Source organism: Homo sapiens, chromosome X (assembly GCF_000001405.40).
Source record: "Homo sapiens chromosome X, GRCh38.p14 Primary Assembly".
Taxonomy (NCBI): Eukaryota; Metazoa; Chordata; class Mammalia; order Primates; family Hominidae; genus Homo; species Homo sapiens.
This window is the reverse complement of record NC_000023.11, coordinates 5,726,896-5,744,103: the sequence shown is the minus strand read 5'-3', so window position 1 is coordinate 5,744,103 and position 17,208 is coordinate 5,726,896.

Here is a 17,208-nt window from a genome sequence, read left to right as displayed (position 1 = left end):
CGGGTGGACACATGCTCATATCCCTGTATCATCCCAGTCCTGCTTCCAGTCCTATCTGAGTCCCAGGTATAGTCACATCTTGACCAATTTGGAGTCTGTGACACAGTCTATATCTGTGCAATAAATACCCTCCCTTGAGTACACAACTGTCTCCTTCAATCAACATGTAATTTATTTTATTCTGCCTTTCTGATTCACCCTCAGAAGAGGAAAGGGGGGTTGAGAAAACTTCTCAGTTGATTATGAAACTCATCCATTAGTTTATAGGAGATATTCATATCCAAGAAAAAACTCTTAGGGGTATCAATCCATGGTGTTAAATCTTTCCAGTGGAAAGTGACTAATTCAAGTTGCTTCTCATTGTATTACTGGTTCAGAGAAGGGCTAAGAAATAATAGAGTAATAAATGGTTGATGTGAAATAGGTCACAAATCTGGTGGTTTCTACTCCTTCTTACACACCTGGAGAAAAAAGCACAGAGAGGTTAATTGATCAAACTGATTATAGTCAGCTGGCTGTGGAGTGGGACAACAGATTGAAGGTCTCTTACCTCTGTATCTTCTTCCCATTTTGCTGGGATATCCCAGTCTTTAAGAACTTTAATTCCAATGAGAAAATCATGTATGTGTCATCTCCTTCATTCAGGTTTAATGGATGGTCACAGCTATTTAATCCATTAACTAAGCTAACATGGCCTACCATGCACACCATTCCCCAAAGACTGCATATGCCTTGGGCAAAAATCGATGCAGCCATGAAAATATTCCACAGATTCTTCACAGGTGGTGTGCAAAGTTCACCTTCATCAAAGCAGTGGATTACAGAAAACATGAACATTTTTCCTTATATTTGTTAGAAGGACTAGAATGAAGTCACTAACAAATTGAACATTTAAGCAAAAATAATAGGTCCGTCGAATCGGATCAGTCAAGAGTATCAATTGAATTAAATCCATTGGCACAAATTAGTGGTTCTTAAATGCCGTGGAAAAGGGGGAAAAGAACAGGTCATTTGGGTATTCCCTTTCTTTCTTTCTTTCTTTCTTTCTTTCTTTCTTTCTTTCTTTCTTTCTCTTTCTTTCCTTCCTTCCTTTTCTTCTTCTTCTTCCTCTCCTTCCTCTCCTTCCCCTCCTTCCCCTCCTTCTCCTCCTTCTCCTCCTCTTCCTCCTTCCTCCTCTTCTTCTTCTTCTTCCTCATCCTCTTCTTCTTCTTCCTCTCCTTCTTCATCATGACAGGGTTTCATTCTGTCACCCAGGCTGGAGCACAGTGGTGCGATCACAGCTTCCTGCAGCCTCGACCTCCTAGGCCCAATCCTCCCACCTCAGCCTCCCAAGTAGCTGAGACTACAGGCACACACCATTGGCCTGGCTAAATTTTTATATTTTTTTGTAGAGACAGGGTTTTGCCATGTTGCACAGGTGGGTCTCGAACTCCTGGGCTCAAGCATGCAATCCTCCTGCCTCAGCCTCCCAAAGTAGGATATTTTCTTAAAAGTACGCAACTCTCTCCTTCAACATGTAACTTCTTGTATTCTGCCTTCCTTATTCACCATCAGAAAAGAAAAGGGGGCTTGAGAAACCTTCTCAGCCAATTATGAAACTCATCCATTATTTTAAAGGAGATATTAACCTCCAAGAAAAAACTCTTGATGGGTATACCCCATGGTGTAAAACTTGGGCAATGCTAGTTATAGTTTCTTGAGTTCTCACAGGTGTCTATCCTGATTAGAAACTTGCACCCATTATTCCTGTACTTTGAAAAGTCCTGCAAAAATAACCTCACATCTTCACAACCCAAGACTTTTCTGAATCCATTTTGCTAGTTGTGACTTTCTCATCCTCTCCATATGACAGTTATTTTCAATCCATACATGTGTAGGTCTTAGGAGATCCTAGAGATATCTATGTTTTGGGAGAGAGGAAAATGCCACGAACCAGGACAACTTACTCTCTCCAGCGCTAATACTGGGAAGCATACCCTGTTCTTATACATCAGGACTTAATTCTCCACACGTAGCATTTCAAAAGCTCCAGGACAGCCATACCAAAATTTTAAATTCTTGCCAGTGGAAATCTTCCCTCAACATCATGCAGTAAGTGACAGACCAGGAGTTCAAATCCAGATCTTCTGTTTACAAAGTCAGTACAAAATAGGGGGCGCACCCTAGGGTTTGTCTTGTTATTGGAGCCAAAGGTTAATGGGAAAAATAACTGTTTTTAAAAACTCAGGCTCCAGTTTAATTGACTGCTTTCTGGCTGGGAAATATTGGACTAGTCACATCCTGATCTAGAGCTACATTCCTGTCTCTATAAAATTGAACTAATAAAGCTTATTCTCCTCTCAACTTTTTTTTTTTTTCACTGCAAGAATCAAAAGAGAAAATCCATGGGGAAGCACTATGTAAATTTGGCAGCATTCTAAAGATGAAAGGTGGCATTACTACAGTTATTTTATGCTTCACTTAAAAGCTCAAAGAAAATAGTTTTTTCTTTTACTACAAAGAGAAGTCTGCTTCTGCCTGGAATAAATTCTACTACTGAAAAACCTCAGATTATCATTTTTTTCCTTAATGAGAAGTGAATGCATTGCCTCTATTATTTTGGCCTCTGGCTTAAACGGAAAACTGAAAATGGACTTTTGTGTGAAAAGCGTATTCTATAACATGAGCTACAATACAATAGAACTTGGACAATTATCCAACTATCATGACCCCAGGATTGACGTATTACAGTCTTGTATTCATAGAACTCAGTGACACAGTGGGCGCAGGCAGGTGGACCTCCTACATGAAGGCTTACACAAGTGGAAAGTTATAGGAAATTGATCTTCTGTTGGGGAGTATTCAGTATGATATCATTCAAGGCCCCACGATTACATTTTGTCGCCATGGATGATTTATTTTTACATTTGAGGGCAAGAGATATGGCTTCTCATGCATGTAATCAAGGGCAATGTCAGAACAGGGCTTTATATGACATGTCCTCACCGTATCCTTGTCAGATAGAAAGAATCAACAGTGCATGACTTCTTTTTTTCTTGATTTCCCTAATATCTGCCTTTCTCCCTGGGTCTGATGTCAGTTCACTTCTTTTTCCACCCTAATCTTGTGCTGAAGCTATATCCATTGACTTATGGTTATAAGTATTGATTTATAAACATTGTACATTTATTTGCAAGCATTGATTTTGTGATAAAGCACAGGTTATTGTTTTTGGTTTACCAGCATCTTAGAGCTGATATTTCATGACATTAAATGGACTCATTGACTTGTGAGGCTTAATGTGATTTCATCAGATCAAAAACATCAGCTGGACATTTGAAATTTTTGTTCTTGTTGTACATATTGGAAACTCTGATTTTTTTTCTTTTGTTGTTGTTGTTTTTGTTCTTGTTGTACATATTGGAAACTCTGATTTTTTTTCTTTTGTTATTGTTGTTTTATTGGGAGTAAGACATACATAACACAAAATTTAACATTTTAACTCTCTTTGTGTCATTAAATACATTCACATGCTTGTGCAGCTATTACCACCATTCATCTTCAGAACGTTTTCACCTTCCCAAACAGAAACCCTGTCCCCATTAAACAACAACTCCCCATCCCCCTCCCTGAGTCCCTGCCTTGCTCCATTCTACTTTCTGTCTCTATGAACTTGACTCCTCTAGGTACCTCATATAAGTGAAAATGACAAAGGAGTTAAAAAGAAATTATTTAGGTAGATAGTCAGGGTAAGGAAGTCCTTGGTAAGGCTTCCCTTTCCATAAAAATAAGCCTGCAAATCATTTCTTTTGTAACAAAGAGCAGCCTGTAAAATCATGTTATAAACATAGATAAGCAAGCTGGAAGCTTGCATGGGTGAATACCAGCAGCTGTGCCAATAGGAAAAGGCTACCTGGGGGCCAGACGCATTCAGCATGGAGGCTCCATCTTCCCTTTTCCTTATTAACCACATGTATAGTAAGGAACAGACAACATGGCGCTGGCCAGGGAAGACCCCATCTGCATAATAAAAGATTAGGGTGGAATGGCCAGCTTCTTTGCGTGCTATCCAGATGTCACACCTGGTCCGACCAATTTCTTGGGCCCTATGTAAATCGGACACCATCTCCTCCAGGAGGTGTCTACAAAACCTGTGGATTTCACCACAAAACCGGAAGACCCACTGGGTGTCCCTCTATCTTTCTAGGAGAGACAGCTATTCTCTTTCCCTTTTCTTTTAACTATTAAACCTCTGCTCTCAAACTCACTCCTTGTTTTCTCTGCATCCTCAATTCCCTTGGAGTGAGACAACGAACCTCAGGTATTTGGCCCAGACAACAATGCCACTTCAAAACCATGCAAGATTTGTTCTTTTGTGACTGGTTTATATCACTGAGCAAAACGTTCTCAAGGTTCATTCATCCCTGTTGTCATCTGCATCAGAACCTCTTTCCTTTTTAAGGCTGAATAAATATTTCCAGGCATTTGGATTTTAAGAGTGATCATTTTCATTATTAGATAATAATTGTTTCTAAATTTCATGTTCATGATAAGCCGTATTCTCCTTGAAAAGTCTACAAGACACAGTGATGTGAGTTGGACAGAGGTGGACACTGTTCACTTGGGTGAACTTTGCTATGGTTTATGCAGCTGTTTTTCTAACTGGACTGCAGGGCTGCTGAGAGACAGGACGTGTTCCACTTATATCTGTTTCTGGTCTGGTGCCTTCCCACAAGATCTTTCATTTAACAGGAACTCAGCAAATGAGTGACATCCTGTACTAGTCAATGCTCCAGTTGTAAGAATTAAAGGAAGAGGAAAGAAACATGAAAGGTGGCTTGCCAGTCAAAGATAGGTTTATTTTAGAGACAACAAACCTGAGAAGAGCTTCTGGCCGAGTTAGGTCAGAGCCCACTCTCTTACAGACTAAGAGTTTTTAAGGATTCAAGGTGGGAGCGTTTATCAGAGGCTTGGACTACTTCTGTGTCTCTTTGTTGTGCTTATCCAGGAGGGAGAGTTTTGTGTCTGTTCCCATACATCTTCCTGCAGCTGCAGGCATACCCCCTGAGTCTGCTTTTAGCTTCCCTATCTTAGTGCACCTGAAGAGAAAGGAATGTGCTTACTAAGGCCCACTGTTTTACTGGGGCCCAGCGTATGAGGGTGAAGTTTGGCGGTTACCCAAGAGACTTTCCCTCCAACTCCCTCTGTGCCTGAGCTGTCTTTTCTGTGTTTTACTGTCTGCTCTTTCTGGCTGCTTGTAGTTAGAAGAGAAGTGATTTCCTTGAAATGCTTGAGGCTAGAAAGGGAGCTGGAACTTAAAGTGGCAGTGTTTGTCCAAGATGATGGTGCTCCTGTTCTGTCACCAGTGAAGATATTAAATGTGTTTATGCTTCACTATGGGTTGAATTTTGCCTCTCCCAAAATTCATATAGTGAAGCTTTAGCGCCAGTTTCTCAGAATGTGACTTTATTTGTAGGTAGTGTCTTTCAAAAAAATGATTAAGGTAAAATGAGATCACTAGAGTGGGCCCTGATCCAATAGGACTGGTGTCCTTATAAGAAGAAGATATTAGGACACAGACACCCACAGAGGGATAACCTTCTGAGGACACAGGGAAAAGATGACATGAAAAAGCCAAAGAGAGAGGCCTGAGGAGGAACCAGCTCTGCCCACACCTTGATCTCAGACTTCCAGCCTCCAGGAATGTGGGAGAGTGAATGTCTGCTGTTTCTAAGCCACCTAGTCTATGGTATTCTGTGATAGCAGCCTGAAATGGACTAAGACATCTCATAAGAAGATGAGAAGAGAACACAGACACACACAGAGGGACGACCCTGTAAAGACGCAGGGAGAAGATGGCATCTACAAGCCACGGAGAGAGGCCTCAGGAGGAACTAGCCCTGACCACACCTTGATTTGGACTTCCAGCCTGCAGGGCTGTGAGAGAGTAAATGTCTATTTGTTAAGCCACCCAGTTTGTGGCATTTTGTTATGGCAGCCCTAGCAAATGAATACATGCTTAAATTTAAAAGTAGATGAAATATAAATCGTATTCATATTATGGTCAAGATGGAAGTAGCTGGCAACCTTGACAAGGGCAGTTTCTGTGGATCGCTGGCCATGGGAATGGAATTGAAATGGGTTGGAGGCAGCACGGCTGGTGAGAAATGAAAAACTGGAGACAATGATACTGCAACCTCCCTTTTCCCCTATTTTCTTTATTTTTTAAGTGCCACCCTTCTAAGAAGGGTCCTGGAGTTTCTCCATTTGATGAGAGTAAGATGTTTGTGTGATTCATTGTGGAAACACATGCTGAGATCCCCTGGAAGCAGGGTGGAGGAACATCTTTACTGTGTGCCCTTTTCTATGAAGAGTACACATTGGGCTGGTTACTGTGTGGAACCCTGAAAATGACCTCTTGGTCCTTCTTATAAGGACAGAGTTGGACACTGTTCACTTGAGAGACTTCTTTACTAGGGTTAATGCAGCTGTTTCTCTAACTAGACTTGAGGCCTTCACCTGCCTTTTGTAGATAACAAATTACAAATTAATACAAAACAAACACTAAATGTGGGTGATGAGTGAGTTGGACAGCTTGGGCTGAAATCCCTGCTTCACCTTTATGGGGCTATCTGATTGTGGATAAATTACTCAATTTCCCTGTGCCTCCTCAGACTCCCATATCTATAAAATTTGGAGAGCATTAGGACCTACTTCACAGGGCTGCTATGAGGATTGAATGCATTACTACATAAAAAGTGATATTTAAAAAATCACCTTTTGGAGACAACATACACAACTCCAGTGATGGAAAAGCCCAGACTACAGGGACTGTATAGAGTTCACTACAGGGACTACTATACAATTCATCCATGTAACCAAGAACCACATGTACCTATAAAGCTACCGAAATTTTAAAAATAAATGAATACATTTTAAAAAATAAAAAATAAATAAACATATTTTTAAAAGTAACGTTTAAAGCACCACAAACATAGGACATATAGATAAGCACTAGCCATTATTACTATATCAAATATCAGAAAAGTTGCAGAATAATTCTAATAATTCCCCAGTGTACTGACAATGACATTTTAAAATAGGTCACTCAATCATATTTGCATGTATAATTCTGTATATAAAATTTGAAGTAGCCTCTTCGGAAATATGATTAAGGAGAAAAAAACCCAGGTTCTAGTGATTTTCCGGGTGAATTCTGCCAAACATTAAAAGGAAAATTAACATCAATTTTACACAGTGTCTTTCAGAAAGTAGAAGAAAAGAAGACACTTCAAAATCTTTTTTTTTTTTTTTTTTTTTTTTGAGATAGTCTCTCGCTCTGTCGCCCAGGCTGGAGTGATCTTGGCTAACTGCAACCTCCACCTCCGGGCTCCAACCATCCTCCCAACTCAGACTCCTGAGTAGCTGGGACTACAGGTGAGTGCCACCACAGCCTGGCTAATTTTTGTACTTTTGGTAGAGACAGTGTTTCACCATTTTGCCCAGGCTGGTGTTAAACTACTGGCCTCAAGTGATCCTCTTGCCTCAGCCTCCCAAAGTGCTAGGATTACAGGCATGAGCCACCGTGCCCGGCCCAAAATCTTTTTATGAGGGCTATATTTATTATCTTAATACCCATATCAAAGACAATGCAAAAGAAATAAAATACAAAATTGTAGCCAGGCACGGTGGCTCACACCTGTAATCCTAGCACTTTGGGAAGTCGAGGCAGGAGGATTGCTTGAGGCCAAGTGTTTGAGACCAGCCTAGGCAACATGGTGAAACCCCATCTCTACCAAAAATACAAAAATTAGCTGGAGTGCAGTGGCACATGCCTGTAGTCCCAGCTACTCCAGAGACTGAGTTGGGAGGATGGTTGGGGCCTAGGAGGCAGAGGTTGCTGTGAGCCAAGATTGCACCACTGCACTCCAGCCTGGGTGACAGAGGGAGACCCTGTAAAAAAAAAAATACAGAGAGAGAGAGAAGAAAGAAAGAAAGAAAGAAAGAAAGAAAGAAAGAAAGAAAGAAAGAAAGAAAGAAAGAAAGAAAGAAAGGAAAGAAAGAAAGAAAGAGAAAGAAAGAAAGAAAGAAAGAAAGAAAGAAAGAAAGAAAGAAAGAGAAAGAAAGAAAGAAAGAAAGAAAGAAGAAAGCAAGAAAGAAAATATAAAATTATAGACCAATATGGCTCTTGAATTGAGCCACAAATCTCCTCAACAAAATGGTAGCATAAGAATGGTTTGGACATTACAACTTTGGAGTAATCATTTTAAAATGCAAATCTCTAAGAGCTATACTTTCTTCCTGCTGTGAGGATGGCTTACCAGTCGCTGAAGATTCAGGCCTTCAGCCCATTGCAATGAACACATACAACAGGAAAGAGGGATGAATCTTTTTATTTTCAGTTACCAGATTTTGAGGATACTTGTTATCATGGAAAGATAAATCTCATCCTGACTGACAGCCCCTAACTGGGAATGTTTGGGGATGTCGAATTATACTCATAGGGAGCTACTGAATTTTGTATGATTTTATTTTATTTGAAGATTCCTGCATTGCTGTTCAGTAGTGCAAACAGGTAGTCATTTTCTTTTCAGTGTGCTCTTTTCTGGTCACTTTTGGTGTGCCATAAGGTCTCATTGGAAGGGCTATCACTGGAGTCATGTTTTAGATCACCTGACAAATAGACTTCAATCTCTGAGATGCAAGAATGAAGAGAAATTGTTAGTTTCCATCTTGCAGCTTTTTTTCTTTATTGATTGCCATTTTCTATTTTTCTTTATTGATTGCCATTTTCTATTTTTCTCATTAATTTCTAGCATACTAAATTGTGATTAGAAATTATGCACCTTTCCTAACTTTTCAAAATTACATAATGTACTTAAATTTATAGAATAATACATTTTTAAATATTTTAAAAGCTTTCTGTATATTTATTTTTGTTATTTATAGAGGCAGTGGGTTAAAACAATACATGAAGTTAATCTCTTTCCATCCTTTGTTCTTTCTTGAAAAAATTTGTTGTTTCACTTTTCAGTAAAATTCTTTTTAAAAGTCTTAATTTTTACAAATGATTTGAATAGTCAAATTAGAAAAATAATGTGGTCTTGGGAATAATTGGACCAAAACCACCAAAATATTCCTTATTGAATAAAGTACATACCTACCTAGAAAAAATATTTGGCTCTAAGACAATACAGACACATGTTGAGGGAAATACTATTAAAGAAGTTTTAAAACAAAATGACAAATCTAGGGAATAAAAAGAAACAGATCTAGTATTTAGTATACTGACCATATCTAGTATTTAGTATACTGACTGAATTTGAGAATCTCTCCCTTTCCTTTTCTACCTTTTTTACTTTACTCAATCATCAACCACAAACAAATGGATGCATCAAAATACATGAAGCAGATTCAAACGACTGAGTGAACATTTTCTTCTATTATTGATAATATATTTTCTTATATTGAGAAATTGCTATAACAGTTTAAAAGTAAATAAAAACTTACACAATGCCAAATTAACTAGTTAGAAAACAGCTGGGTGGAAAGCTTTGCCTAATACTTCTGTGTAACTATGATCCTTTCTATCCACATTGCCATGAATGAGAATTTAGCCTTGGTGTGACATAAAGACTGCTTTAACATATTTCAATTTACCCTTCTTTAGTACCTTTCACTTCTCTCCAATCTCAATTGAAAATTAAATTTACTAATCTGAACTTTATGCTCAAATTAAAAAAAAACCCTGCTCTTATTAAATGGCAACTATTAGTCATCCGTGAAATTTTGTTTTTTAACTTCTTCATGGAAGATGAGTTATTGGAGCAAGAAACTAATCAACATTATTATAAATTCAGATAATCGTTGGTGGGGGGGTGTCTGTGAATACACTTTACAGTAAGAAAGCTCCTTATTGGAATGTTGGGACACACTTTTGTTCATACATGTGTAGGTGAAGGTAATAATGAGTAGCTTCTTGTAGAACCAAATGAGGAAAAGTGAATTTCATATATTTTGTCTCAGTCTTTCTCTTTCTCTCTCTCTCTCTCTCTCTCTCTGCGTGTGTGTGTGTGTGTGTGTGTGTGTGTGTGAGAGAGAGAGAGAGAGACAGAGAAGGACAGAGACAAAGAGACAGAGAGAGAGACAGAAACAGTCTGTTTTTGTCTCTACTGAATGCATAGAAAATGTATACAAATTGTCATTTGAGCTTTAAATTCCATGAAACATGTATTTAATTAAAAAATGAGAATGGTGTGAGTCATCTAATGTTTCCAGTTAATTTTATGAGTAAGTTACTCATTACATTTTTTAAAACAGTCATTAAAATAATCTGTGAAAATGGAAATTTAAAACAAGGCTTTCAGTTTTGAGTTTGTTTTCTTGCTAGGGATTATGATGAATATATGAGTCACAGGACAGTTGCCATGAGAAACTGGCTTTTACGAGTGAGAAGACACAAATCGTGTTAATTACAAAGACTATCCTATCACATCATTGTAGGAGGAAACGCAAATAACTTGGTAAGAGTCAGGGCTTAAGCAACAGGTGTTATAAGACCAACAGGTAAATGTGTCTGCACCATAATGTGTTTGGGTAACCAATTACACTGAGACAGAAGGGTTTGCAGCAGAGAAAGAGTTTGTGATTGCAGTGCACTGAGAAAGGAGATGGGAGAAGATCCTCAAATCCATCTTCCCAAGGAGTTCTAGGCTAGAGCTTTTAAGGAGATCATGGAGCACAAGGGACTGGAACATTGGGATCAGTGATTGGTTGGGGTAATGAGGATGAAGTCATCAGCATGTAGAAACCGTATTCTTTGGAGAGTCAGATCCTCGTGGGATCCTTCAGACCAGCTGAGGCAGTAGTTTGATTGATATGCAGGACCTGAAAGAATATCTTAAAGGGAAAACATAATGTTTCATCATGTCCCTGTGCTTCAAAATGATAAGAAAAGATGAGATAATTAATTAGTATTGATTCCTCCTTGTCCCATAAATGCAAGTACTGAGGGATGGTTGCTGTCATTCCATTTACACAGTGGAATCCCCATTGGGTGTTTCAATCATTCTAACTACTATGGCTGAAATGATTAACTCGTAGTCTCAATATCTCCAGTTACTGCATTTTTCTACTCATCAATTCTTTATTAACCAGATAGCAACAGTCACATTACATAAACCATATGAGTTACTCTTCAGTATTATGGCATATCAGACCATGAAAGTTGTACATTTATCCTCCATCCTGTATTATTTATTTCATTTTTAAAATGTGCTATTTTGTCATCCTTGATGAATTTTGGCTAGTAACTAGTGACAATTTTTTATCTTATTGAAGCAGTGTTAAACGTGTACAATGTTAGGATATTCAAGGGCTCAACTGATTTTTGAGTAATTTTCTGATTGCTATTGAATTCTGTTATTGGCAGACTTGATTTATATGAATATCCTGTTTCAGATATTTCAGTTACATGTTTAAAAGCTGCACTTGAATCTCAGCAGAGAAAAATTATCCACATAAGAGAGCAATTCAGGTTCTATGAGATGTTATATTTAAGAATATATGTTTATTCTATGTTGCATTTCATAATGCATGTATTATAGATTTCTTATAGCCTGGAGATAATTATATTTAAGGGAAGTCACTGAAAAAGGCTTGTTACGGGCACAAGCCACAACAAAACAGTCTCGCTCTGTCACCCAGGCTGGAGTGCAGTGGTGCGATCTCAGCTTATTGCAACCTCCACCTCCCTGGTTCAAGCAATTCCCCTGCCTCAGCCTCCTGATTAGCTGGGATGACAGGTGAACACCAACACATCTGGCTACTTTTTTTGTATTTTTAGTAGAGACAGGGTTTCATCATGTTGGCCAGACTGGTCTCGAACTCCTGACCTCAGGCAATCCACCCTCCTCAGCCTCCCAAAGTGCTGGGATTACAGGTGTGGGCCACTGCGCCTGGCCCACATTTTACTTTTTAACACCTACTTTAATTAACCTTTTCAACCTCATTATCCTCTGCATCATTACTGGCGGATCATGCACAGATGAGACTCGAATCTATAAATTAATTCCTGGAATACGTAAAACAGCATTCACATGTTCATGTTTCTCTTGCCATCAGATCTTTTAAGTTGTTACAACGTCTAATATTGATTGACATCATTCAAACCTAAGATAAGATTTTAGATGTTGGCAATAATATTGCTTTGTAATTTTTTTTTTGAGGCAGGGTCTTACTCTGTCACCCAGGCTGGAGTGCAGTGGCACAATCATGGCTCATTGCAGCCGTGACTGCAGGGCCCCAAGCGATCCTCCCGCCTCAGCATCCTGAATTGCTGGGACTACAGGCATGTGCCACCATGCCTGGATAATTTTTATTTTTATTTTTTGTACAGATGGAGTCTCACTATGCTGCCCAGGCTGGTCTCGATCTCCTGGCCTCAAATGATCCTCCTGCCTCAGCCTCCCGAAATGCTGGAGTTCCAGCATAAGCCACCACACCTGGCCTTTGCTTTGTATTTTTAATATGTTCCATGACTGAGTTGATTTTGTGGGAGTTCTTCAATATGCTATCAATACTGAGGCTTTGTGTGGTCAAAGACTGTTTTAAAATGTAGGTTTGATTATTACTGAGATATGGCAAGGCCAAGAGATCAGGAGATAACTGCTATAAACAGTTTGTTGCTCACAGTTCCTAAGAGTTGAGAGCATGCCACACCGTGGAGGGCCACATGGGAGAGCACCAGCATTGATCAGGAGGCAGTGTGGGTGTGATGAAAAAGGCATGGCATGGCAAGAGTTTTTTGTGGTTTTCACATGAATAAATGGGTGAGGCAAGGTAAGTAGGTTTAGGATTGGCTGGTTTTAATAATTTCAGCAGAATCCCGCGTGTAGGGGCTTCCCCTAGTTGTCTCATACCTGGTCCTGGGATGATGAGGACAATGAAATAGAAATGTGGAGTGTGAGAGACCAGTAAAGGAGGTGGTTAGGGTGTGGCCTCTGGACTGGTTGATTTGCATGTGAAAGGCACGCTTCTACTGATTCTTTAGTATCTCTAGGAAGTGGCTAATTCTAGGAGTTACAGCTCCCTCAAGGTCAACAAAGCCCCAAAATATCAAAGCATTAAAATTAAATTCATGCTTACAACAAAAACATTTGCCTTATATATCTTTCCATAGTGTATTCATTTTAAGATCGTTTCCATTTGCTTCTTGGGTTGTATTTAAGACTGTAGTTATATAGATGGTTATTAATTCTTCGATATTCAATGTCTTCTCAGCAGCAGGGATATCTTTCCACTCCTTATTTCCTCAGTCCACCTCTGATTTTGGCAGCAACCAAAGTGGACAACTCCAAGTGGTCTCTGACTCATCTTTAATCCATGTAGATCCAGTAGAGTAAAACATTCTACTCTAGGCAAGCACCATGCATCTTTCTGCATTCTGGCCCAAGTTCTTCCATGCCATGTGAGCTCATGTGGTCTTTGAAAATACTTGGGAAGTTGAAGACAGTCACCATCCCTTAGGATAACTGCCCATACATGGTGGGCAAGATTCAATTTTCTTACAATGTCCCACATCTCTCAGAAGCAGCTGGCATCATCATGAAAATAAAATGTATCCATTATGGTATCAGTTAAGATGTTTGCTCTGGGATAAAATCCTGCAGGGATGGGACACCGACTTTCAAGATGCATTTTATGCAGCTAACCAACTACCTATATATGATGCTCTGTCCCCAATATCTAGTAGTACACACATATCCAGGAACAATTGTGTGATAATAGGTGTGTCCCTTTTTGTCACCATTCCCAGCTATGCTTTTGCAGAATTTGGGGCTCCCTTATGTGCAACTGGCCAGTCTGCAACATGGCAGTCCTGGTTCCCAGGCATCAGGATACATCCAAGGTTTGCTCTCAACCTGAATGTGCACTTACCACATGATCACCTTAGGCTGTTCATGGCAGTGGGCCAGAAGCAAATAAATGAGATATTATATTGACAGAAGCTTATCCTTAAGTGTTAGAGATGATGCATTATAATGGGGGCAGGGAGGAGCATGTCTGGAACTTGGGACATTTACTAAGTTATGGTCCAATAAAGCAAAGCAAGGCAATGGAAGGGACATGCCTTGTCTCAGATGAGACTTTACACCTTGGGCATTTGAGTTAATGCTGGAATGAATCAAGAGTTTGGGGGACTGTTGGGAAGGCCTCATTGTATTTTGCAATGTGAGAAGGACATGAGATTTGTGAGGGATCAGGGGTAGAATGATATAGTTTGGATATTTGTCCCTGCCAAATCTCATGTTGAATCGTAATCCCCAATGTTGGAAGTGGGGCCTGGTGGGAGGTTTTTGCGTCATGGAGGTGGAGCTTTCATGGCTTGGTGCTATCTTTGCAATAGTTCTTGTGTTCTCATGATATCTGGTCATTTAGAAGTTTATGGCACCTCACCCTTGATCTCTTTCTTGCTCTGTTCTTGTGATGTGATGTGTCTGCTCCCCTTCTGCCTTCTGCCATGATTAGAAGCTTCCTGAGGCCTCCCCAGAAGCAGAGGCTGCTGTGCTTCCTGTGCAACCTGTAGAGCCCTGAGACAATTAAACCTCTTTTCTTATAAATTGACCAGTGTCAAATATTTCTTTATAGCAGTGCAAGAATGGCCTATTACACTGGTATTTCTGTGGAAGAGATGTGAAGATGTGTCTCTTTCTAATCCAGAGACCAACTTAGAGAAAAATATTTATTTCTCTATTAAATTAAAATAATTATTGCCTTCTATCCACTATTTGTGTGAATATCTGGTAGTTTCTCCTTATCTTTAAGGCTCATAATATATAGAATAGCAGCTTATAACATAACATTCTGATAGTGTAAAATTAAACTTTCCAAGCTATAAAACTACTCACCAGTCATTTATAGAGAAGTGACCTTTTCATTTCATTTATTTTTTTATTTCCTTGGCCGGAACAAAAAATCCTTTTTTATTTCTTTTGTAGGCATGACACATCCATCACCTTTGGAATTTGCATGTACTTGTTCTTTGAGGTTACCTTTTGTGTTTTATAGCCCACAAATGCAAAGACTTAATATCTTATGAAAACCGAAGCCAAGAGGAAAACATACTGATTTTCAAAAGAGGTGAACGTAATTTCTGTCTGGCTTCTCTTCTTTGTTTGATGCTTTTGTATCTGAATGTTAGAGTGGATGCTTTTGGTGTGGAGGATGCTTATACAATGATATTTACACACAGTCAAATATCTCCCACTGTATTGATGTGTTTTGTTAAAATAGGCAATCTATTATGAAATATATTTTTCCTTTAAAATTTAGAATAGGACAGAGAGGAAATATTAAAATGAAAATTTCAGTTTGGTATTTTGTTCCCATTTAGCTTGTTTTTAAAAACCTCTGAATTCTTTCAAAGACCCTTCTGAATTGGTTAGGATAAAGCAAATCTGGTAAATCTACTTTCAGATTCTAGACCACTTTTCCCTATTAAGATACTGATTTCAGTAAAACTACCTTGATTTTTCTCCTCTGGCATTGATAACTTTTCTATCACTGACTCAACTTCAGTGTTTACTTCCAACCTCTCATTTCCTGCCCCAAGATATTCACAACAGAAAATGACATAGCTCTGATTTTTAGAAAGTGATTATTACAAACACCAGTAGACATTAAAAGTAGAAATATTCATGGTTTCATCATTGGATTCACTTGGGATCAGTGTCCTAAATGTTGCTTCCTTTATTTCATATCAAATCCAACTTCAATTTCTACAGAAGACTTACTTTATCATTTGTACAGCATTTTCCTTCTCTCTCTGCTGCATCTTGTGTTTATCCGAGAACTGTACACAGAATGTATTTTACTGAAAAAGTCCACAAATTCAGAAGTCATCATGGAGATACAGATAAGGGTTTAAGAATAGGGCATGTGTTTTTATTTTATCACAACTGGCTCACCTTTCAGTGACTATCGGTTGTGTTGGTGCTGGAGGGGTTACTGAATCAGAACGCTTAAAAACGTTAAATACGGAAGAATAGTAGACTGTCCTGAGAGCAGGCATTGTATCACGGGGTAGGACGGTGAGGGGATGCTTGATGACTCTGTTGTTGCAATGGTCAAATTTTCATTATGAAAATTGTGCTACTAAAAACGAACAAGCAAACAAAAACATTCCTCCAATGCATGAAGAAAAACATTTAGCTTCTTGAATTTGAATTTTTCAGAAGCAGAGAGAAACCTTCTCAACGTCATGAGCTCTCTTCAGATTTGCTTTATGTTTGTGCTGTCTGGCCTTGTTTCTGATCAAGATTTATGGGTATGTGCCTTTTGCATATTTTCTGAAATCTTGAAAGAAAAATTCAGGTCTCTAACCTCTTTCTTCCTTTACAGCTTTTCACATTCTTTAATTGAACAAACGTGTACCCTAATCTTAGTTGAGTGCTAAATGGTTGTGTATTTTCTACAGGGCTGAATTCTAAACATGCCATTCTCATAAGTGCTGAAGGGTAAAATTAAAATTTCTACTGTATTGAACATAACCCTTTTAACTTCTCAAAAGGTGTAAATATTATTCTTGGGCTAAATTGATAAGCTATTTAGATCACTGCAGAAACTTGTCTCTGTCTATTCAATATCAAATGCACAAAATTACAGTTTTGGGCTTAAGAGGCTAACACAAATGACATAGTAGGTGCCTGTGCTCTGTTTGGAGAATTCTAGATTTCAAATTAACTCTGTATAACAAGGGAGAAACAAAAAAGAAAAAGAAGCATAATGAAGAGAAACCAATGTAATTTTAAATATTCTAGGAGAAAAATTTAAAAGATAACTTCACAAAGACATTTTACCATCAAAAGAGAGGATGGTGTTCATTTTGCTTCTTTGATGTTGTTTGCATTAGATTTCTGAGTTCTTCTGCCGTCCTTCCAATGAGGGTATAACTTTCTACATTTTTGCTATGTGCAAAAATCTCAAGTCTTAGTGTCTTCATGTTTCTCTCTTTCTTGCTATTGCTACAGCTGTTAAAAATTATTGTCCATGTAGTGAATTGAATTGTGTCACCCCAAAAGTTATGTTGACATCCTCCATCCTGACAACTGTGGCTTTGACTTTATTTGGAAATAGGGTCTCTCTTTAAAGAGGTAATTAAGATGCAAGTTAAGAGGAGGTCATGCTGGAGTGAAGTGCAGCCTTAATCCAGCATGACAGGCGTCTTTA